The following is a 24,002-nucleotide window of genomic DNA, read 5'->3' on the forward strand; positions in this document are numbered from 1 at the left end:
GAGGGGAGAAAAAAATAATGTCTTTTCCTTACCTACTGGTAGGTTAATGACTGAGGCACCTATAATAAAAGCCAGATTAATGAAAAAAAAATACAAATTTATTTACTGTTTTACATGACATGGGAGCCTTCAGAAAAGACCTGAAGAAACAGGGAAACCTGTGTAATTTTTTACTCAGATTTTTAATGCTCAGGCTTGATGAAGAATGTACAGTTGTAGGGAAGTATGATTGGACAAAGTGGGTATGATTTAATAATAATAAACTGGGAGGAATTTAGCAAGGCCTGTTTGTTCTGATTCTTCTCTGTGTCCCTGTGTCTTCAGAAGTAAGTATGGAGTCCTAATTAGGGAAAATGAGTCAGACTGGCAGGAGCAGGGAAAAACAAAAAGAAAAATAAGATCTCCAAGTTGCTTTTCTTCATGGTCCAGAACACACAGCCCTCCTGCACAAATAATTCACAATCTTCCTGCATCCACATATTACCAAACCCTTGGCTGAAAGAAAAATTCAAGTTAGCTCACTGCAACCTTGGTGTTATCAGTATTGCACAAAGCCCTCTTCAGCCCACAGCACAAGCACCATCCTATGAAGTCCTCAGCAAGCCTTTGTTTCCCTGCGATCAGTTCCTATCTTGCTGACTTGCCCATTACACCCTTGCAACATATTTCCATACTTCTAATAAGTCTGCTTTTCTTTACCTACAACTGTTTCAGTAAATTCTTTTACTGCTTGTGTGACACTGGCCCCAGATAGCTGTGACCTGCGACAATAAGGATGTTCTTTTCTTCTGGGTATGAGGAGGGCACCCCAGAATGAGGGTCTATGACCTACTTCAAAGGAAGATCAAGAATTATTTTATGGCCTGCTTCAGAGGAAAATGTTGGGAGAAAATCAGAGAGACCGTCTTGCTTCTACTGTTTTCTTAAATGCCACAGTGCCATATTTTTGGGGTAGTGTGCCCTGAACTCCATTAGTACCATTTTTTTTTCTATTGACCACTTAAATGTAGGTATTATTTTTAAAACTCTGAATTCTAGCCATCTGACAAAAAGGTTCTTGAATTTATAGGATGTGCTCTTGCTATGTGTAACCAGATCTCATCTTGGTTCTTCTAACTTTCACAGATGTCTTTGGTGCCTCATCCATATCCTGTTTGCATTCACTCTAAAGGTTTACTTTTTGCAAATACTTGACTCTCCACTTAGGGCACTCTTCCATTTAGGGAATTTTTTGTTTGTAGTAATTTGCTTAGTCCACATACAATACAAATCAGAAGTCCTGGAGGTGTAATACCTCCAAAACAAGTCACCAGAAATTTTGGAGAAGATGTGTTGTGTAATTGTGACAGGTTCCTTGCTTCTCATTTGGGATAACTATGATGCATGTTTTGCACTGTCTCCTGGAGTTCCTTAGTGGTACTTAGCTCCAGTTGCCCACAGTGGTAACTTACTTGTAATGTAGCTTCTATTGATTTTATTTCTTTCCCTTTTTTTCTGTATTCTTTTGTAGACACTTACCTGGATCACTGAAAAAACAAATTACTTATATTCTAAACTTTTTCACTGAGTTTGCTTCTGGGGAAATTCAAACTCAGATACAAGTCAATCTCATCTGCATACTGTATTTAGTGTTTATCCATTTCTATTTGGTGTCACAACATATTTTGGCTATCGCTTCTGAATGTTTTTATTTGCTCTCTCTATACATATCTCCTTTTTCTATTGCTAAACTATTCATGTACTCTTTAAGAGAAGTCCTCTTATTGATATTGACAGGAGGCAGGGGAATACTGGGTAGAAGAGGGTGGTTCCCTGGCAAAGGCCCCACCCTCAAGCCTGGAAACCCATGGGCCTAAATGGGAATAGGCATTCCTGTTTTGGTGCTGAAATGGTGCCTTTTCCAAGACCACTCTGGCCTACCACACCCCTATCCTGTGTCCATATATACCCCAAGCTCCACTGGCAGAGCAGCAGAGTTGCATGGCAGAGAAAGAGAGAAGAGGAGTATCAACGTCAAGAGGAATTTGGCTAGGGACTGTGGGAGAGGAGCTCAGCCACAGGACGGCTGAACTCCAGGGGAAGATCATCTTCCCACTCCATCCCCTTTCTGGCTCCCCATCCATCCTGCTGAGAGCCACCTCTAGCGCTCAATAAAATCCCCACATTCACCATCCTTCAAGTCCATGTGACCTGTTTCTTCCTGGATGCCAGACAAGGACCCCGGTACCAAGAGGGCAGGATGTAAAAGGCTGTCACCCTGACTCTCCCCTGAGCTGGTTAACACTGAGCCATCTGTGAATGGTAACTGCTGAAAGGGCATTAATTGTAACACTCCTAGATGCTACTGCGGGCCTGGAGCCCAAAAGCGCTTGCCCTGGTGCTTGCACCTGCCCGTCTGCGTGCTCCTCCTCCTGTACGGGAGCAAACGAGCCATGCCCCTGTCGCGAGTCCCATGAAGGGGTCAAGGAACTCTCCTGTTTCATTATTTTTGCAACAGGTGCTAAGATTCCAGCAGCATCCTTACAAAAATTCTCCTGTATTTACTCCTACGGTCTCTTCCTTTTGGTCTTCCTTGTCTCTCTTTGGAAACATTAAGCTGCTTTAAAAAACTGTTATATTCACAGTATAGTTTTCACACTCAGGCATAGTTTAGAGTAGGCATAGGCAAGACTTTATCATCCACATAGATACTATGAGTTGGTTCATTTTGTAGCAGCAAAGTTGTGATTGCACAGTGCATTCATAGGAAGCTATACCTGTTTGTTGACTTAAGAATTTAAAAGAGGGGACTGGTAGATGGTGTGATTTAAAGCTTGGTTTACAGAAATCAGATGTGATGGCATCTTATAGTACTACTTCTTTTCTTTCTACTTTTTTGGTATAAAATAATATTTAATAATACTTTATTTGGATAAAATACTTAATACTTAATATTATATAGTATATACTTAATAATACTTTTATTTGAATAAAATAATTATCTAATGGGTAAAATGGTTAATCTGTGTAGATGTATTCTGGATACATAACTATCTTTTATAATGCTACAACTAGCAAGAGCTTTCTTGTTCCTTATTTGTTTTTCTTCTTTCCATTTTTTCAGCAGGGAAGTCACATTGATTTCTGCAATAGAAAGAAGGCTAAAAACAGCCGCAACCTGCTCTATGGGGCAATTTAGTATCAATAATCAGCTAGCAGAATAGATAACATTCAGAGACAAAACATCACCATGCAAATTCAAGAGCATTTAGACCCAACTTACTTTTAATCTCTCCCCAGTTGACAATAGGCAAATATTGATAGTGGGTACTAAAATCCGTAAAGCAAAAAAGAATGATTTTCATGGCTATTGAAAAAAGCCACTGGAGTCAGTTGTTTCTTTTCATCTGCCAGTTGCTTCTCCTTTTTATCTCTTTGAATTGGCTTATTGTTTCAAGCTTTGTCCCTCACTTAGAGGCAATTTACACAGAAAAGAGGTTTTCATTTGCATATTCTGCTGAGGAATTCAAAGCATGTTTCCTTGGAAACTTTGGTCGTCTGAAACAATTATTTACATAAACAATGTTTTCAATCAAGGCTATTATTTCTAAAGGAAGAAGAGTATTAATAGTTTGCCCCAAATAAAGCATAAATTAAAACTAACATATTTTATCCTGAGTTTCATTAGGATTAGCAAAATTTAATTATTTTGTTGTAGGACTCTTTCCTTAGTTCAGCTAAAGACAGGGGTCCTTAACACATGGCCATAAAAAATTAGGCTCGCAGAAAAATTTGAAGGGTGAGGAGGGCAAGGTTTATTGGGTGAAAAGGAAAAGAGAGAAGCAGGGACTCTCTGCAAGGCCTGAGTCCCTGCTGGTGTGCTTCTCGCCTCGCAGCTGGAATCCCAGGTTCCACCCAGGAAGAGGAGGGGCCAGGCTCCTCCCTGTTGCAAATGGCATGAACTTCTGTGGTTCTACTCTAGTGTGCACTCTTCCCAGTGTACAGGCTTCTTGGAGTTTCTCTGGGGGTCCCTTCCCACCTGGTTGTCTCATGTTCATCAACAACTTGAAATAATCACCAAAAACTTTCATAACATATATTAGGTTACATGTTCTATACATTATACAATAGTATCCCCTCCTACCCAATTTAGGACCAGTTGGTGAAAAGTTAACTGAAATAGTTGTCTAAAGTGTTATATCAGAAAAAAACAAAAAGATAGATACTGTTAAAGAAAAAATATTTATGTCACTTGTTAAAGATGGTAATGCAGTCTTTATTCAAAGAGGGCCCTAGAAATAGGTATAGGAACCCCTGCAATGGGATTCTGCAGCTGGGGAGAGGGAGTAGACTCAACTCCAGCTCCAACTGGGACAATACCATAATTCATGCCAAATTTTAATTTTAAAATTTATTTTCAAAATAAACACAATAGTGAAGATGTAAAAAATATTTGTATATATAAAGACAATATATGTATATGTACATCACACATATATTCTGTTTTTTAAAATAGGAATTCCTAAGCGAATAATAACTATATGCTTTCTCTTACATTAGCAAATTATTTGAAATGGGGAGGCTGACATTCGGAAATGTTATCAGATGTGTCTTATAATTTTCCTCTTTTCTCTAAGTGCCAGTTCTGTTCAGAAGTTGAAAAACAAATCAAGTATCACCCACCTATTTAACATTGTTGTCAAAATCATTCAACTGCACGTCTAGCTGATCCCCAGATCTTTGACTCCCAATTATGACAAGGTATCTAGTGTTTTCTTTTTCAGTTTCTTACCCTAATCTTTATCTCCATTTTTTGTAGCTTATTTTCTTTCCCCAAATGAAAAGTTATGTCATAACTAATTTGTTGCCTTTCTACTTACATATAGTTATATTAAAAATTTGGGCATTGTAAGAAATGATGTAATAGTAGAAAAGATAGATTTGGAACTTATTAAACTGAGTACAAGAATAGGGAGTGGATGCACCATTGTCGTAAAATCCAGTTTATCTTCGCAGAAAGAAAACCAAATGTCTTGAATATCTTTTACATCAGTCTGAGTTTGGTAGCCTATATATTACTGATAGTTGACAAATATGTATTGAAAGTTTCAAAATTGTAGAGGGAAATTGAAAACTTATTTATTCTGGCAAAACCAACATTCACTTTACTAGAATTTAGGCAGTCATCTCGGCTCTTCATGGACAACATAACCTCAAAATTATGACAGGAATGAAGGAAAAAATCCTCAGTAAATATTCTCAATTCTCAGTTTGGTTCCATGTACTTAGAAGTTCTTCATGTTTTATTTAAATGAATTTTCATTGTCAAATTAAATACCACTCACAAATTTTTCTCTCCAGCCAGATTTTTTCTCGAATATCAGGTTTGTATATCTGTCTGCAGTTAGTGACTTTCATGCGCGTCCGTGTGAAGATACCACCAAACAGGCTTTGTGTGAGCAACATGGCTGTTTATTTCACCTGGGTGCAGGCGGGCTGAGTCCGAAAAGAGAGTCAGCGAAGGGAGATAAGAGTGGGGCCGTTTTATAGGATTTGGGTAGGTAAAGGAAAATTACAGTCAAAGGGGGTTTGTTCTCTGGCGGGCAGGAGTGGGGGTCGCAATGTGCTCAGTGGGCAGGAGTGGGGGTCGCAAGGTGCTCAGTGGGGGTGCTTTTTGAGCCAGGATGAGCCAGGCAAAGGACTTTCACAAGGTAATGTCATCAGTTAAGGCAAGGACTGGCCATTTACACTTCTTTTGTGGTGGAATGTCATCAGTTAAGATGGGGCAGGGCATATTCACTTCTTTTGTGATTCTTCAGTTACTTCAGGCCATCTGGGCGTATACGTGCAAGTCACAGGGGATGCGATGGCTTGGCTTGGGCTCAGAGGCCTGACAGTGACTCCCAAACTCAACTCCCAATCTGTCCCCCCACACCCCTTTGCACTTCCCAAACCCCATAAAAGCCATCTTCATTTCAATCAATAGCACAAATCCTTCCAAGTGCTTTGGCCAAGAACTTGGGTTCATCATTGACTCCTCTTTTTCTCTCTAATCCCATATCTAGTCATCAGGAAATTGTGTTTTCTATAATTTCAAAGTATATATAGCATCTTAACCACTTCTCTGTCTGAATCACCATCTATAGTCTAGAAGATTGCAGCAGACTTCTGTATGTTCCTCCTAGACTTTTAAATGGTCTTCTTACCACCCATCTTGCTCCTTTACAATTTATTCACATTAAACCGACCAAGCGAGCTTTTTAAAATGCAATTTTCATGTCATTTCTCTGATAAAATTCTCATTTGGTACCTCATTTCAATTTAAAAGCTAAAGTTCTCACAGTGGCCTATAAGCCCCATCATGACCTGGCTTACTGTTACCTGTTTTACACAGGAATAGCGATCAAGATCTACCAGGGGAAGGGGCCTAGTGAACACAGCTTGGTGTCATGGAAAGCACTGAGGAGATCTTTGACTCCCAAACTAGGAGTTTGTACTCATAGGAATGAGTACTCATAGGAATTGTACTCATGGAAAAGAGTACAAATTAAAGGAACCTCACCAAAACGGGAATCCAGACTTGACTTTACTCAGTCCCTGATTAATGGTATGAGGATAGCTATGCCTCTCAATTTTATTTGTCAAGCAGCAGTTGGTTGGGAAAACTTATCTGGAAGAATTCAATATTCTTGGAGTCACCACAACTTTTTACACACAATTTGTTATGTTTCATTAAATATCACTAGACATGTTATGAGATAGGATAATATGATCAGAAATACAAAGAAAAATTCCAGACAATATAAGCAAATCCACAGGGTGATTCTGTTATTAGAGTTAGCGGATAGAAACATTAATATAGCTGTAATTAATGCATTCAAGAATTTAGAAAAATGGGAAAAAGATGAAAAGTTAGAGAATGTTATAAATTACAAATTGAAAAGCAAATTGATACTTAAGGCTCAAATTAAGCTCTATAGAAATTTGAAAACAGTAGAAGATAGGATTCAATAGAAAATCTGAGGCCTGAATGCTCAAAAGAGAAAGGACGTTAGAGACATATGGAACACATGGATATGATCGGGAGTTCCAGAAAAAGTAAAAAGTGTAGCAGAAGTAATATTTGAATAGATCATAGCCAGGATTTTTTTTTAACAACTGATGAAGGACTCAATGGAAAGACTCAGAGAAGGACTGTACTAGAAAACGTCTAGCGTAACAAATACAAATAAATCATACGCAGGCATATAATAGCAAAACTCTGAAAACCAAAGTCAAATAGAAAATCTTAAAAGCAGGAAAAATAAAAAAGACATTTTACCATCAAAGTCTGACAGCTAAATACTCAGCAGAAATTATGGAAGCCATTTATTAAAAAGTCAAAAAATAATAGATGTTAGCAAGGTTGTGTCAAAAAGGGAATGCTTAATGCTTATATGCTACTGGTGGAAATATACATTAGTTCAGCCACTGTGAAAAGCAGTGTGGCAATTCCTCAAGGAACTCAGAACAAAATTATTTGACCCAGCAATCCATTATTGGGTATATACCCAAAGGACTATAAATCATTCTAACATAAAGACACATCCATGCATGTATTCATCTCAGCACTATTCACAATAGCAAAGACATTAAATCAAATTAAATGCCCCTCAATGGTAGATGGATAAAAATAAATATGCTACATATACAATATAGAATACTATGCAGCCATAAAAAGGAACAAGATCATGTCATTTGCAGCAACATAGATAGAGCTGGAGACCATTATCCTAAGCAAACTAACATAGGTACAGAAAACCAAATGCCATATGTTCTCACTTACAAGTGAGAGCTAAATACTGAGTACACGTGGACACAAGGGAACAACAGACACTGGGGCCTGCTTGGGGGTAAAGGGTGGAAATAGGGAGAGGATCAAAAAACCACCTATAGGGTACTATGCTTATTACCTGGCTGACAAAATGATCTGTACACCAAACTCAAGTGACATGAAATTTACCCATAACACAAACCAGCACATGTACCCTTGAACCTAAAATGAAAGTTAAAAAATACATACATCAAACAAAATCATTATGGAAGCCAGAAATCAATAGAATGACACCTTAAAAATGCTACAGAAAAATTGCCTACCTGAATTCTATATCAAGCAAATAACCCTCCAAAAATGTAGACAAAATAATTAATGACATTTTCAGAAAAACAAAGAATGAGAAGTCACCACCAGCAGATCTGAATGAACACAAACACTTAAGAAATTCCTCAGGCAGAAGTAAAATAATTTGAGATTGAAACACGTAAATTCAAGAGGTAAAGATAAATATGTGGATAAATCCAATCACATACTATTCTTAAAACAATAATAGTAATTATTTGTAGTTGTTAAAATATGTGAAAAATTAAAATACACAGCAATACAAAATATCATAGGGGGCTAATAAAAAATTTATACTACTATATCAACATTCTGACTTTTTCTAACCTTTCATCTAGTGCTGCAAGCTCTATGACTTTCAATGTATTGATGTTGACAGTTTTACCCAATCTTTTGCCATTGCCTAATAGACTCTTGCATATTTTCCATTTCTGTTATCAATTTCTTCATTGTCTACTACCCGATCACTAGGCCAGTGTGACACATGTAAGGCATTTTTCAAAGGATGTATCCCACTTCAAATTACCAATATCTACATTAGTTAAGATAATATCAGAAGCTATAAAATTTAGGCCGGTGTGGTGGCTCACGCCTTTAATTCCAGCACTTTGGGAGGCTGAGGTGGGTGGATCACCTGAGGTCAGGAGTTCGAGATCAGCTTGGCCAACATGACAAAACCTTGTCTCTAATAAAAATACAAAAATTAGCTGAGCATGGTGGCACGCCCCTGTAATCCCAGCTACTTGGGAGGCTGAGAATCAGCAGGAGAATCAACAGGAGAATCGGTTGAACCCAGGAGGTGGAGGTTGCAGCAAGCCAAGATCCCTCCACTGCCCTCCAGCCTGGGTGACAGACTGAGACTCTGCCAAAAAAAAAAAAAAAAAAAAAAAATAGAGAAGCTATAAAATTTAGAAAGAAACAAAGCAAAATATTGTTTCTTTTGGTGAGTTTATGTAAGTAGAGATTTTTTTTCTTTTTTGCTCAAGTAATAGTTTAATATAGGTGTTCTTGGTTGATAAGTAGCCTTGTATCCAGTGATTCAAGACCTTAAACTCTTTCCATTCTGTATCTTCAATATCCTTTAGAACCTTGAAGTCCTCTGAATTTATCTGGCAGGTCAGAAAAGAGTGAGAATAAACCAGAGCTGTTGTTTCTCAGCCTGAAGTGGCATACATCACTTTTATTCACAAAGGATTGGAATTGTAGACTTTGCATAGACAGCTGCTTCCCAATAGAAATGCTTACATTCCTGAGAGAAATCATGAATTTTTGTTGGCCAGTTAATCAATTCTGTCACTAAAGGTTTTTTGAATGAATAAAATAATCTGATGGTTTTAAAATTTATAAACAAAGCTTACCTCCTATCATAATAACCTTATAATGCATTGATAATTAAATCAACTTGAAAAGATATCTATGGTACGGGGAGGGAAATGTCCTGTATTTTGTGCTATTATATAAAATATTTCCGTTAAATTACTCATCTGGGAGTACATACCACTAAAATAAGAAGCATGAGTTGAAAAGTCAATGATACAGCCGCAATTATATAATATATTTTGAAAAAATAGATACATTTTACTTGAGAGAAATAGTTTGTATTTTAATCTGTCTACAGTGAATTTAAGTTAGTTAAAGACATTAGAAATTAAGGTATTAGTGAGAGTGTTTTATTTTACTAAGTTTCATAAATGATGATTGTTGTTTATGACAGTTGTTTGAAATGACCTCCCTTAACTGCTGTTTTTTCCCTTTGCATTTAGATATTTGCTCTTTTATATGTGGAACTTAAATCTATAAGGCACAAGGTTTATTCACTTAAGTTCCTGTTCAAAAGGAACTTTTTGGTATTTTAATTTTGCCTTCAACAGCAATGAGTCCTGAAGTCACACAAACTTTAAAGATTTAGGTTAGTCTTTTGAAACTCACTTCTCTTAAACATGGATGGGGTATGAAGCAAATAAAAATGTTCATATTTAAAGCAATTGTGCGGAACCGCTTAATTTCTCAAAATCACTTATCTCTCTACTTTAACAGTGGGAAAAACAAATGATAATTGTGGTCCTCAAATTTGTGACCTAAACCCATACCTCCAAGGGATAGAGATGGTTATTTTGACAATATAAATTCAAACTCACAGACTCTTGCATACGTTAGAAACACGCTATAGTATCAAGCAATTGATTGGAAAACAAATTTTGTGAAATGTGATAATATAACACAGGAAAATATGCCTGTAATAGTAAATCTAAATTAAATATATACCCTTGATAATTCATATTAACCATTTAATATAGATACTACTTTTGTGTTTTAATTTACAAGTAGCAACATTTAAAACAATTACATTCATCTATTTGAAGCTTAGCATCAGATGAGGTGGCCATTTAGAAACTGCTCAATCTGATAGACTAAGCTTATGCCTTTGATAGTTTTCTGAGCCCATTTAGATTTAATGAAAATATCTTACCAATTGTCTAATTTTTGAAATTTTTATTAAATAAGAGCTGAAAAATTGTGCCTATAAAGTGCAGGATTATTCACTCAAGTTGAGTTCCTATTCAAAAGGCACCTTCCAATATGACCCAATAAAAACATCACTAAAACATTTTAAATATCATATTAAATGCTAATTAGATCTAGTCAAATATATATTAAATTTTTGTTACAATTCATTTTGTCCTTGGTTATTATTGAATGAAGCAGTTGCATTTTTTAGCTTGGTAGCAAATGAATTATTTCCAACTTTACAATAATCATTAAAACTGCAAATAATCTGTTGATTTTCCTTTTGTTTGATACAGGTTTTTAATTTAGATTTAACAATGGAGATTTTCAATAGAGGAAGTAGATGAAGACCTACCTTTGAGATATTTATTTTGCCTTCAGGGCCAACACTAGAAAAATTAACATATACATCTTATTGCCAGAATCAAGAAAACTTTGGTCTTTGCAAAGATTTAAATTACTTGAGAGCAACAATTATGTGTTAGATAATTTTATAGTCTGCAGCTGTGCCAAAGGAAGTGCGGTGGGAAGCAAGGGACATAGAGGCAGAGGAAGGGCAAGGAGAATCCCATGCCATCAGAACCAGGGAAGTGAATAAGAAATTGCCTTGTGGTAGCCTCTCACAACATCATTCACCTCAGTGAACACAGACTATCTTTCTGTTTGTTAATTCTCAGAAAAATTTAGTAGTTTTCATTGTGTGGGACTGTCATATCTTATCTTGAATTTCTTCTCAAGTATTTTGTGTTTTTCAATGCTAACATAAGTGTTTTTTTAATTGTCTTTTCACAATTGTTTCTTGCTAATATAGAGAAATAGGATATATTTTTTATATTGACTTTGTAGACTGTGACTTTGCTAAATTTATTTATTCATTCTAGTATCTTGTTTTGTAGATTCCAGCAAAATTTTGAGTCGAAGTATTGAGAGTGAGCATCTTTGCTTTGTTTCACAGGTTAGGTGAAAGGCTTTGATATTTTACTTAAGTAACTATAGCTTTATTGCAGATGTCTTTCTCCAGATTGAAGAATTTCTATTGTATTCCTAGTTGCTGAAAATTAAAAACCTTTTTTTGAGATATTTTAGTTTTGATTTCTAGATTCTCATTTGTTTATATTTCTAAAAGGTATCTATTTTTCTTCTGAAGCTCCATTTATCTTCATTCATTATATCCATCTTTTTTGCAAATCCTTTAACATATTTATGATACTTATTTCAATGTAATACTTCCTAATTAAAAAATCTGGATGATCTGTGAGTTTGTCTCTATTGACTTTCATTCTTGAATATTTATCACATTTTCCTGTTTCTTAACATATCTCATAATTTCTATCTAACTCTAAACATAGTGTTTGTATCTCAGAGTGGGCAGGCCTAGTGGCTAGGGTAAGGGGCTTATCATTCAAATTCCACTGGGGTCATATTGAGCTGGTTTGGGCTACAACTTTCAATAGTTTTGTTTTACCATTGAATTCATTTCCAGCAGGATTCTGGAAGCTTTGCACCCCAAAATGCATAAGACTGCGTAAATTTGATTCCATACCTTTATTTTACTGAGACTTCTCTCCGCAAAGTTCAGGAAGTTGTGGGAGAAATTGTCAGTGACATTGATTAGTTTTTGCATCTAGGACTCTTCCAGATTTCAGTCCTCTTTCCCAGCCAATACAGATTCTAAAAGTTAGGCTGGTTTCTCCTCATTCCTGCAAAGTCTTTCAGTCTATGACAGGTCACTTGCTGCCCACCAATACATAGGCAAGATATGTACCCCTAGGCATGGAAACTGTCTTGGCTTGCTTCTCCTTCATGTAAGATTCATTTCTTGCTGAGATTTAGCTCCTCAAGGCTTCCAGGCATCCAAACCTGCTGATACTCCTTGAATATCATGTACAGTCATGCACTGCCTAGCCATGTTTTGGTCAACAATGGATAGCATATACAACGGTGGTCCCATAAGATTACAATGGAACTGAAAATTTTCTCCTATTACCTGGTAACATAGTAGCTGTCATAACATCATAGTGCAACACATTGCTTACATGTTTGTGGTGATGTTGGTGTAAACAAACCTATTGTGCTGCTAGTCATATAAAAGTATATTGTGTACAATTATGTATAGTACATAGTACTTGATAAAGATAATAAACAATGATGTTACAGATATATGTATTTTCTATACTATACTTGTTATCATTATTTTTAAAGTGTATTTATTCTACTTACCAAAAAAAAGTTAACTGTAAAACAGCCTCAGGCAGGTCCTTCAGGAGGTCTTATAGAAGAAGGCTTTGTTATTATAAGAGATGACAGCTCCGTGTGTGTTATAGTCCTTGAAAACATTCCTGTGGCCCAAGATGTGGAAGCGGAAGACAGTGACATTGATCCTGACCCTGTGTAGGCCTAGGCTAATGTGTATGTTTGTGTCTTAGTTTTCAACAAAATCTTTAAAAAATACAAATAAAAAAACTTTAAATCGAACAAAGCTTATAGAATAAGGATAGAATAATTTTTATTTATAAAAAGGATAAAAAGGATAGCTGAATTTTTGTACAGCTGTACAATGTGTTTCTGTTTTAAGCTAATTGTTACATCAAGACAGTCAAAAAGTTTAAAAATTAAAAATTTTATGAAGTAAAAAGTTATTGAATAGAAAATTATTTTTTATAAATTAGTGTAGCCTAAGTGTACAGTGTTTATAAGTCTATAACAGTAGAGTACAATAATGTCCTAGGCCTTCACATTTACTCATCATTCACTCACTGACTTACCCAGAGCAATTTCCAGTCTTGCAAGCTCCATTTATGGTAATTGCCCTATATAGGTGTACCATTTTTTATCTTTTCTATTGTATTTTTACTGTACCTTTTCCATGTTTCAGTATGTTTAGATATACAAATACTTATTGTGTTACAATAGCCTACGGTATTCAGTAGAGTAACATGCTGCACAGGTTGTATAGGTTTGTAGTCTAGGAGCAAAAGGCTATACATTTTGCTAGGAGCAAAAGGTATATATATATGGTATATATATATATATACCATATGTATATATGATGTATATATATTTATATACCATATATAGTCTACATATGTAGTAGACTATGCCATCTAAGTTTGCACAATAGTAAAATCACCTAACGATGCACTTCTCAGAACATCTCCCTGTTGTTAAGGGACACATGTCTGTGTATGTTTATTATTTATTATTTTTTTATGGATATATTTTTACATCCTTCTACATCCTACTCAAAAGCAGAAATTGTTTCAACCATCTTATATTGTGCCTTCTGTTTGTGCAGACAGAATTATCTCTATTGTCTGTGTTCACCGACAGACCAATTTCTTTCCTACCACGCTTTTATTAAGGGTACAGCCATCCCTGAGTGTGGCTACGAGTAGGTCCAAGATTTTTTCTCTTAGTTTCTATCTGCACCTTAAAATACAAACCATTAGTTCATTGAAATCAATAAATAGCTCATGAAGAGTCATGATTAGGTTTTAGTGTATCACACAGGTTATTAGTGCTTTGTTTCTTTTCTCTATTCTCTCACTCACCCTTTTAGCAACTCATGGTGGAGTTCCCCCATCCTCAACGCACTAAATTATATTTATGAAAGCTTGTTTTCTAGATTTTATTCAGCATTTCTAGGGGCTCTGTGGTTGAACAATATCTACTGTGCCATATTGGCAAAAACAGAAGTCTTTTCTTATGCCTTCATGTAACTTTTAACCTTTCCGCCACACAATCTGGAAATACTATCTTTCTTCTGAAACCCTTCAGAACTTTTCAGTTCCCCTTTAATGACACCATGTTCTCTGTTATGTCACTACTAGTGTGCATGCATGTCCTAGATATACTGTAAGAATGTAAGTTTAATAATGAAACAATTTTCTTATATTCTTTATATCTTTAGGGCCAGGTGTAATACATTGCAATAGACTATGCACTCGATGGAAGAATTGATGTATGGAGAGTATAATAATGTCAATGAATTTCTCCAGACAAAAAGAAAAACATTTCCGTGACCCAGGTAAAATTCTGCAGTTTTTGATCCCTTTAGTTATAGAAACAGACAAGAAAAAACTCCAAAGGCATGATTTATAATCCTTTGGGTATATACCCAGGTGGGAACTGAACAATGAGAACACATGGACACAGGAAGGGGAACATCACACACCGGGGACTGTTGTGGGGTGGCAGGATGGGGGAGGGATATCATTAGGAGATATACCTAATGCTAAATGACGAGTTAATGGGTGCAGCACACCAACATGGCGCATGTGTACATATGTAAGAAACCTGCACGTTGTGCACATGTACCCTAAAACTTAAAGCATAATAATAATAAAATTAAAAAAAAACAAACTCCAAAGGCGAGAAGACAATGGTGCTTTTCTCAAGCCAGTTACAGCAAAGTTATATTGCCTTCATTCTATAGTTGCCAGATTTAGCAAATAATTATAATAACATAAAACTCTCCATTAAATTTGAATTTCAAATAAACAATGAATGTTTTAAATATATAAGTATGTCTCAAATTGCAATATTTGTTGTTTATCTGGAATTCAAATTTAAATAGGTGTCCTGTATTTTATCTGGTAACCCCATTCACATTACAAGTAGGGTGCTCAGAATCTAAACTTTCAGGTTTAGACTCCTTGGACTGTAAATCCTATACCCCACATATCTCTCTGAATGCCACTTCTCTCATGAGGGTAATTTTCTTACTATTCTTTTTGTTTTTCAAGAGTATGATTAGCAAATTGACAAAACCAAGCTGTGTTGCATGTGAATAATAGTAGGTATATCCTGGAATTTGCAAGTCTCATGTAACATGTGCCTAAGGTAACAGTGGTCTTTTGGATTCAATAATCCAAATAGATGATTCTATTAATGGAAATCTCAAACCAGAGACAAACATATCAACAGAAAGCAAGGAAGAAGCTTGTCTTCCAAACAACTCAATAAGGTGACTGCTAGTGACACCCATGTTTGGAGGAGATTTTCCTGCCTGTTGGAACCCCTACCATGTAGATTTTATGATTATTAGCTATCTTGTGTTAACTATAATTGAAAACATTTTTTTGTTTTTTAAAAAGATATTAAAAGTTTCAAATGATCACTTGCAGTCTTGCCTTCTAAAAATTCAGTAAAAATCATATTACAAATACAACCAAAAGTAGTCATAAATAGATCTTTTAGACACAAAATTGCACACACCGCCAGGATTTCTCTCCAGATCACATACTACTTACTGCACACCACAAGTTCCCCATTATTAAAGTAAGCAGGAAGCCTAGAAATCAAATAGACACATTACTGGAATTATGAACAAATAAACTGCTACCTAAAATTGTTATTATTATTATCAGAAGAGGGAATAGAATATGGAATTGTTAAATGTTTAAAGTGAAATAAAAAGAAATTTTTGAGTATTTTAAGTACCTGTTTTGTTTTATGAGACAACAGATTTTAAATTACAGCAGAAATAATGGTTACATGGAATATAAGGAAATACTTGTAACTGGAGTATAAACCAGGAAGATAACTGACAACTGTGGACAATTTTCAGAGGAACACTTATGATCATCTTTTTGAGATGGGTATCTTCTTAATGATTTTGCACATTCTACAGATTTCTCTGTGGTTTGTGTATACATGATGAGTCAGATTTTAGGATTGGAAAGGACCATTTTCTAGTTGTTCTCAACCATTTTCCCCCTACTCAACACACCTGAGGAAAACAACCAACTCCTAAAGGTAACCACTGGAGTGGTTCCCAAAATGGTGGTAGTTCAAAATTCCAGTGAAGGATTGGGAGGCTACAGAGTGACATAAGTAGTTTGATGAAGTCCTCTAAATCATTCTGGTATCCGGCTGGGTGCAGTGGCTCATGCCTGTAATCCCAGCACTTTGGGAGGCCTAGGCAGGTGGATCACCTGAGGTCAGCAGTTTGAGACCAGCCTGGCCAACGTGGCAAAATCCCATCTCTACTAAAAATACAAAATATTAGCTGAGCGTGGTGGTGGGCGCCTGTAATCTCAGCTACTCAGGAGGCTGAGGCAGGAGAATTGCTTGAACCGGGGAGGTGGAGGTTGCAGTGAGCTGAGATCGCACCACTGCACTCCAGCCTGGGTGACAGAGCGAGACTCTGTCTCAAAATAATAATAATAATAATAATAATAATAATAATAATTCTGGTATCCTTTCTCCTTTCTGAAGGATCGTATATCTAATATAAACTTTTTTTAAAAAAATGAGCAATTGAGAGTCAGTTTTGTCCAACACTGCCCAGAAAATCAGGTAAGAAAACAGAACTGGAAACGATGCCTTTGTCTCCCATTTTTAAATGCAGTGCTCTTTCTAATGCATCATGTTTTACCCTCCTCTTCATACACTTACCTTAGTGACCGTAATGATTTATCACTTCAGTTCACAAATGCATGTGGATTCTTTGAACTTTTTCTTTTAAAAAACAAACAAACTGATTGTCTTTAACTGTTTTAAAACAGTGAGTCTCTGGTAGAGAAATACTCAGACATAAATTTCCTTAGTTATTCCTAGTTTGATGCTTCCTGACAAACTCAAAGGTATCAATATAGTTCTACCAGTCTTTAAGCAGATCTTGTGTTCTTGTATTACATAAGGTTTTGGAACACTTTGTTGGAATGTTTAATCAGGGATGAAAAATGTCAGAGCTCTTGCCCTAATGATTAATTCTGATTAACTCATTTAGCCAATCTGGTTTATACTTCCATCCTGTGGGTTCACTAATTTCATAAGTTCAGACAGTCCTATAACAAGGAGGATAATTTTCTGGGACAGTGATGATGCACAGTCCTTTTCTGGTATCAGAGATAAGTGGGTGAAAACAGGCATTGGCATGCAGCTGAGATCTGTCAGTTCCTGCTCATGGCACCTGGTTCTTGGGTGAGAATCAGAGCCAATTTCATCATATCAAAATTACTAATCCTATTCACTATGTAAATTATTTTACATCCATCAGTCTAATTTCTGAGCTTTGAGAGATACACTTTTTTTGTTATGTCTTGAACTTTCTTTTTGTCTATTAAATATCTGTGTATATAAACTCATCAGAATTATATTTTTTTAGTATACATTCATTGATTTATGTTAAAAATATATTCATTGAGCTCCTACTATGTGCCAAACATTGTCCTAAGTCATGGGCACAGAACAATCACTACAACAAAGTCTTTGCTCTCATAAAGTTTATAGCCTGGTTGCAACTTACAATTTTATAGTCTGGCTGGTAAAGATTTTACACACACTGATATACGTGTGTGTGTGTGTATATATATATGTATATATATATACACACATGCATATATATATGTCCACATACATATATATGCATATATATATCCACATATATCCATATATACATGTTTACAAATATATATGTATATGGGTGTGGGTATATGTTTGGTGATAAGGGGTAATAAAATAAAGTGAGTAAGGGGACAGAATTTCCCAGGGGTGTTATTTTAGCTAGACAGCAAATGCCTCCCATATGTAGTAACATTTAAGTAGAGATATAGATTAAGTGAAGGAGTGAGCCAGGGTGAAATCAGAAAAAAGAACATTTCAATTCTTGCTTTGGGAGGAGCATGGTTTGTATGTTTGTAGAATTGCAGAGCGGTGATGTGGTTGGAGCACCATGACAGGAAAGTAAGAGAACCTGGCATCTGACAAGCTGTCAGGAACCAGGTGATGTAGGGTTTGTAGGCCTAGTAAAGACTTTGGACTTTATTCTCTATAAAATGTGCATATACTGAAGGGTTTTGAGTTGATGAAGGACATGATCTTGTTTATGTTTTAAAAAATAGTGCAGGAAAACACCAGCAAGATGGGTGATTAGAGATGCCTGGCATTTATCCTCCCAAAAACAAAGGACTAAGGCAACAAATACACAGCTAAGATTTGACTGGAGTGTTGAAAGGAGAGTACTGGAGTGCAGGGGGTTAGTAGAGAGGTACCTATGGTGATTGGAGATCCAGAAGGAAAGTGTGAAGGTGCCTCACCTCTGCAGCCCCATCTCCCCAAGCCTGGATCAGACCTGACTGGAGTAGGATGGATTCTTGTTGAGGGGAAAAGGTAGGCAGAAGAATTCCACAAGCCTCCATTGCCATCACAAACACCTGTAGTCCTTATAACAGGAGACTCCCACAGTCTCCCAGGTTGGAGAACTTCCAGGTTTTCATGCCACTGCATTGCCCTGGATTGGGAGCACAGGGTGTGTACTCCTTACACCCTACCCACTCCCTGTGAGACAACTTGTTTCAGTATGGTGCCATCTTGAGAACAGAGCCACCTCTGGAGTGTGCCCTCCTCTGGAGGCCAGTGGCCACTGTAATTCCCCAACATTGAGACTCCATTTTTGTTCCTGCAAGCCCATGTCAATGGCTGAACACCAAAACCCCAGTAGCATGGAACCTAAGCCCAGAATTGGTTGTGATGTTGGTCCTAGACAGGAGGGAAGCCAACTCCTGTTACCCTAACTTCCAGTCAGAGAAACAGTCTGGCAGTCCCACCAAGAACCTGCCCTTAAGCTGGTCAAATTGCTGTGTACTCTTCCCACCAAGCGGCAGAGGCCTTCAAGCCCCCGAGCAGCTGACCTGCTCCCAGGCCAGTAAAGTGGCTACACACCTGCTTCCAGAACCTAAGTAACAGCCCTGAGGGCTCCATCCCATGGCAGATGAGCCCTTGACCTGCCCAATGGCCCTGCACCTGCAGCCAGAGCCTGAGAAATACCTCCATGGGTTTCCTCTAGCATAAACGCCCCAGGCTGGATGAGCAGCTGTGTGCCCATGCCCCAGGACTGAGAGAGACCTCTGCAGGCTTCCCCTGGTGGGCAGACCCCCAGGCCAGCCAAGCAGCTGTCTACCCACTGATATGGTTTGGCTGTGTCTCCACCCAAATCTCAACTTGAATTTTATCTCCCAGAATTCCCACATGTTGTGGGAGGGACCCAGGGAGAGGTAATTGAATCATGGGTGCCAGTCTTTTCCTGTGCTATTCTTGTGATAGTGAATAAGTTTCACGAGATCTGATGGGTTTATCAGGGATTTCTGCTTTTGCTTCTTCCTCATTTTTCTCTTGCTGATGCCATGTAAGAAGTACATTTGCCTCCCACCATAATTCTAAGGCCTCCCCAGCCATGTGGAACTGTAAGTCCAATTGAACCTCTTTTTGTTCCCAGTTTTGGGTATGTCTTTATCAGCAGTGTGAAAATGAACGAATACACCCATGCTCCAAGCCCAAAAATGGTCCCATGGGCCACCCCCAACAGACATAACCCCAGGCCAGCCAAGCAGCTTTACACCTATATCCCACTCCTGAGAAACAGCCCTGCAGGCTGCCCCTGGCATACACACCCCTAAGTCAGCCAAGCAGTTTTGCGCCCACATCCCATGCTGGAGAAATAGCCCCACTGGGCCCCTCCCAGCAGACATGTACCTAGGCCAACTGAGAAGCTGTGTGGCCATATACCAGACCTGAGAAACAGCTCTGTCAGCTGCCCCTGTTGGCCAAAACCCCCCATGCCCCCAAGTTGGCCAAAACCCACCAAAACCAAGGTGGTGACAAGAAGTGATCTTTGGTCGTCCTCACTGCTCGTTATATGCTAATTATAACGCATAAGAATGCTAAAAGACACTCCTACAAGCGCCATGACACTTTACAGATGCCATGGCAACATCCAGAGGTTGCTCTATGTGGTCTAAAAAGGGGAGGAACTCTCAACTTTGGGAATTGCCCACCCCTTTCCTGGAAAACTCGTGAATAATCCACCCCTTGTTTAGCATATAATCAAGAAATAACCATAAAATAGCCAACGAGCAGCCCATGCTGCTGCTCTGCTTATGGAGTAGTCATCATTTATTCCTTTAATGAACTTGCTTTCATGTAAGAAAAAAAAAAAAGAAAAGAAAGAAACCAGGAATAAAAAGTTAAACACTGCATGTTCTCACTCATAGGCAGACACTAAAAAAAGTTGAAGTTATAAAAGTAAAAAGCAGAACAGAGGATACTAGAGGCCAGGAAAGGTAGAGAGAAATGGCGGATAAGGAGATATTTGTTAAAGAATACAACACTGTAGCTAGATAGGAGGAATAAGTTCTAAGGTTCCGTATCACTATAGCATGAGTGTAGTTAATAATATATAATTTTTAATGGCTAGAAGGAAGACATTGAATGTTCCCAGCAAAAAGAAATAATAAATGTTCAAGATAATGAATATGTTAATTACCCCAATCTGATCACTATACATCACGTGTGTTGAACATTACTATGTACCCCATTAATGTGTACAATTATTATTTGTCAATCCAAAAAATAAATATTAGAAAAGCCAGAGGCAGTGGAGAAGGAAAAAGAAATCTGTAACTGGCTGTGAGCAATTAATTGTAAACACCACTGCACTTGGACCTACCCTAAAGGCATTTTAAAGGGAATGTTTTCAATATTTTCCAGTAGGATGGGGGCAGTCTGATCTCAGTGCCCCACTGTCTCCTGGCCTTTCCTGGGACCCCAGCCTTGCTATAGCCACTTGCGCACAGCCTTGAATGCCCAACCAAGGTGCTCCTGAGGCCATCATAATAGTTCCTTCACTGGGAGACTGTGCCTGACTATCAGCACCCCCTATCATGCAGACATGCAACTACCCATCTGCAGCCTCTCTCCATTGCAGCCTTCCCCCCACCACTTTGCAGACGCACGCTCACCAACGCCTTTGTGCACTTGGCAGATGCACGCTCGTGCAGATGCAACGCAGCGTGCACTTTGCAGATGCACGCTCACCAACGCCTGCCCCATACACTGTTTTGCTGGAACACGCAGGTGGACTTTGCCTCGTCTTCTCCACCAGCATGCATGCACACACTACATTGCTCCACTGCCACTGACACAAATGTGCTTGTATGGATAATTCTGCCAAGCCCCCATGGGCATGCCACCCCACCAATATGTGGGCACCTTGCTGCACCGCTGTTGCCAGTGTGAGCATGTGCATGGATGCTGGCCTCCCACCCTCACCCATGGCCCACCCCTGCCAATGCACATGTACCTCACCATGCCATGGCTCCTGCTGGTATGTAGATGCAGGCAAGGATCCCACTTCTATTGCCCCAATGAAGCACTGTGGTAGGCACTCCTCATTGGGTGTTGATGCCAGCAGACCAGGAACTCTTCAGCCCCAAAGTGCAGCAGGTTTCTAACCTCAAGGGGTCACAGAACAAAGCAATGGGCCCAGAAACAGCCCTTCAAGGCTACAGCACACAGCCCAGGAGTGATGAGCTGAGCCTTGGTCCCCTGAAATCTCCCAGAAACAAAACCAGTCAAGTGAGCCCACCTTATACGACAATCAAACCCTCAAGGTATCAAATATTAAAGCAAAAAAACCTCATCCAAAGGACAGCAACTTCAAAGATTAAAGCAATATCAGCTCACACAGATGAGAAAGAACCAGCACAAGAACTCTGACAACTCAAAAACCCAGAGTGCCTTCTTACCTCCAAATGAACACCCAAGTTTCCCAGCAATGGTTGTTAACCAAGCTGAAATGGCTGAAATGACAGACATAGAGTTCAGAATATGGATAGAAATAAAGATCACCAAGATTCAGGAGAAAGTCGAAACCCAATCCAAGGAAACTAAGGAATCCAATAAAACAATAGAAAGAATGAAAGATGAAATAGCCATTTTAAGAAAGAACAAAACTGATTCAAGGAGGCTGAAAAACTCACTACAAGAATTTCATAACACAATTGCAAGTATTAACAGCAGATTGGACCAAAGTGAGGAAAGAATCTCAGAGATCAAAGACTGGTTCTTTGAATCAACACAGTCAAATGAAAATAAGGAAAAATAATAAAAAAGAATGAACAAAACCTCTGGGAAATATGGGATTATATGAGGAAAACAAGTCTATGATTCATTGGTGTCTCTGAAAAGGAAGGAGAGAAAGCAAGCAACTTGGAAAACATATTTGAGAATACTGTTCTATGAAAATTTCCCCAACATCACTAGAGAGGCCAACATTCAAATTCTGGAAATGTGAACAACCCCTGTGAGATACTACAAAAAGATGGCCATCGCCATTACACATAATTATCAGATTCTCCAAGGTCAACAAGAAAGAAAAGGGGCAGGTTACCCACAAAGGGAACACAATTAAGCAAACAGTGCAACCTTTCAGCAGAAACCCTAAAAGCAAGAAGCAAATGGGGACCTATATTCAGTATTCTTAAGGAAGAGAAATTACAACCAAGAATTTCATATCTAGCCAAACTAAGCTTCATAAGTGATAGAGAAATAAGATCCTTTTCAGACAAGCAAATGCTAAGGAAATGTGTTACCACCAGACCTGCCTTATAAGGTGTCTTTGCCTTATAAGGTATCTTTAAGGGAATGCTAAATATGGAAATGAAAGACTGTTACAGCCACCACCACACATAAAAAAACCACTTAAGGACATAGACCATTGACACTGTGAAGCAACTACACAATCAAGTCTGCATAATAACCAGCTAACAACACACTGATAGGATGTATTAGTCTGTTTTCATGCTGCTGATAAAGACATACCTGAGATTGGGCAATTTACAAAAGAAAGAGGTTTAATTGGACTTAGAATTCCACATGGCTGGAGAGGCCTCACAATTACGGTGGAAGGCAAGAAGGAACAAGTCACATCTTATGTGGATGGCAGCAGGCAAAAAGAAAGAGAGCTTGTGCAGGGGAATTCCCCTTTTTTAAAACCATCAGGTCTTGTGAGACTTATTCACTCTCATGAGAACTGCACAGGAAAGACTTGCCCCCATGATTCAATTACCTCCCACTGCATCCCTCCCACAACATGTGGGAATTCGAGATGAGATTTGGGTGGGAACACAGCCAAACCATATCACAGGATAACATCCACACATATCAATATTAACCTTGAACAACTATGGGCTTAAATGCCCCACTTAAGGGCAGAGAGTGGCAAGTTGGATAAAGAAATAATACCCAGTATGCTGCATTCAAGAGATCCATCTCAAATGCAATGACAACCATAGGCTCAAAGTAAAAGGATGGAAAAAAAAATCTACCAAGCAAATGTAAAATAAACAACAACAAAAAAATCAGGGTTGCTACTCTAATTTCAGACAAAACAGACTCAAAACCAACAACTATAAAAAAAAAAGACAAAGAAGGCCACTTCACAGTGGTAAAAAGCTCAATTCAACAAGAAGACCTAACTATCCTAAATATATATGCACCCAACACAGGAACATCCATATTCATAAAACAAGTTCTTAGAGATGTAGGCAGACACTTAGATAACCACACAATAATA

At 37.9% G+C, this 24,002-nt stretch overlaps 7 annotated features.

Annotated features, from left to right (window-relative positions):
• Positions 2,964–3,689: an enhancer, noted in NCBI's record as "OCT4-NANOG-H3K27ac hESC enhancer chr6:129064821-129065546 (GRCh37/hg19 assembly coordinates)". NCBI's record gives its function as "activates a minimal SCP1, AML or CMV promoter by ChIP-STARR-seq in naive and primed H9 embryonic stem cells {active_cell/tissue: H9 hESC(naive and primed)}" and the evidence as "EXISTENCE:reporter gene assay evidence [ECO:0000049][PMID:30033119]".
• Positions 3,690–4,415: an enhancer, noted in NCBI's record as "OCT4-NANOG-H3K27ac hESC enhancer chr6:129065547-129066272 (GRCh37/hg19 assembly coordinates)". NCBI's record gives its function as "activates a minimal SCP1, AML or CMV promoter by ChIP-STARR-seq in primed H9 embryonic stem cells {active_cell/tissue: H9 hESC(primed)}" and the evidence as "EXISTENCE:reporter gene assay evidence [ECO:0000049][PMID:30033119]".
• Positions 4,995–5,632: an enhancer, noted in NCBI's record as "OCT4-NANOG-H3K27ac-H3K4me1 hESC enhancer chr6:129066852-129067489 (GRCh37/hg19 assembly coordinates)". NCBI's record gives its function as "activates a minimal SCP1, AML or CMV promoter by ChIP-STARR-seq in naive and primed H9 embryonic stem cells {active_cell/tissue: H9 hESC(naive and primed)}" and the evidence as "EXISTENCE:reporter gene assay evidence [ECO:0000049][PMID:30033119]".
• Positions 5,633–6,269: an enhancer, noted in NCBI's record as "OCT4-NANOG-H3K27ac-H3K4me1 hESC enhancer chr6:129067490-129068126 (GRCh37/hg19 assembly coordinates)". NCBI's record gives its function as "activates a minimal SCP1, AML or CMV promoter by ChIP-STARR-seq in naive and primed H9 embryonic stem cells {active_cell/tissue: H9 hESC(naive and primed)}" and the evidence as "EXISTENCE:reporter gene assay evidence [ECO:0000049][PMID:30033119]".
• Positions 14,119–14,218: an enhancer, noted in NCBI's record as "active region_25042". NCBI's record gives its function as "activates an Ori minimal core promoter by ATAC-STARR-seq in GM12878 lymphoblastoid cells {active_cell/tissue: GM12878}" and the evidence as "EXISTENCE:reporter gene assay evidence [ECO:0000049][PMID:35858748]".
• Positions 14,229–14,278: an enhancer, noted in NCBI's record as "active region_25043". NCBI's record gives its function as "activates an Ori minimal core promoter by ATAC-STARR-seq in GM12878 lymphoblastoid cells {active_cell/tissue: GM12878}" and the evidence as "EXISTENCE:reporter gene assay evidence [ECO:0000049][PMID:35858748]".
• Positions 14,479–14,538: a silencer, noted in NCBI's record as "silent region_17531". NCBI's record gives its function as "represses an Ori minimal core promoter by ATAC-STARR-seq in GM12878 lymphoblastoid cells {active_cell/tissue: GM12878}" and the evidence as "EXISTENCE:reporter gene assay evidence [ECO:0000049][PMID:35858748]".

This window comes from Homo sapiens, chromosome 6, assembly GCF_000001405.40.
Source record: "Homo sapiens chromosome 6, GRCh38.p14 Primary Assembly".
Lineage (NCBI taxonomy): Eukaryota > Metazoa > Chordata > Mammalia > Primates > Hominidae > Homo > Homo sapiens.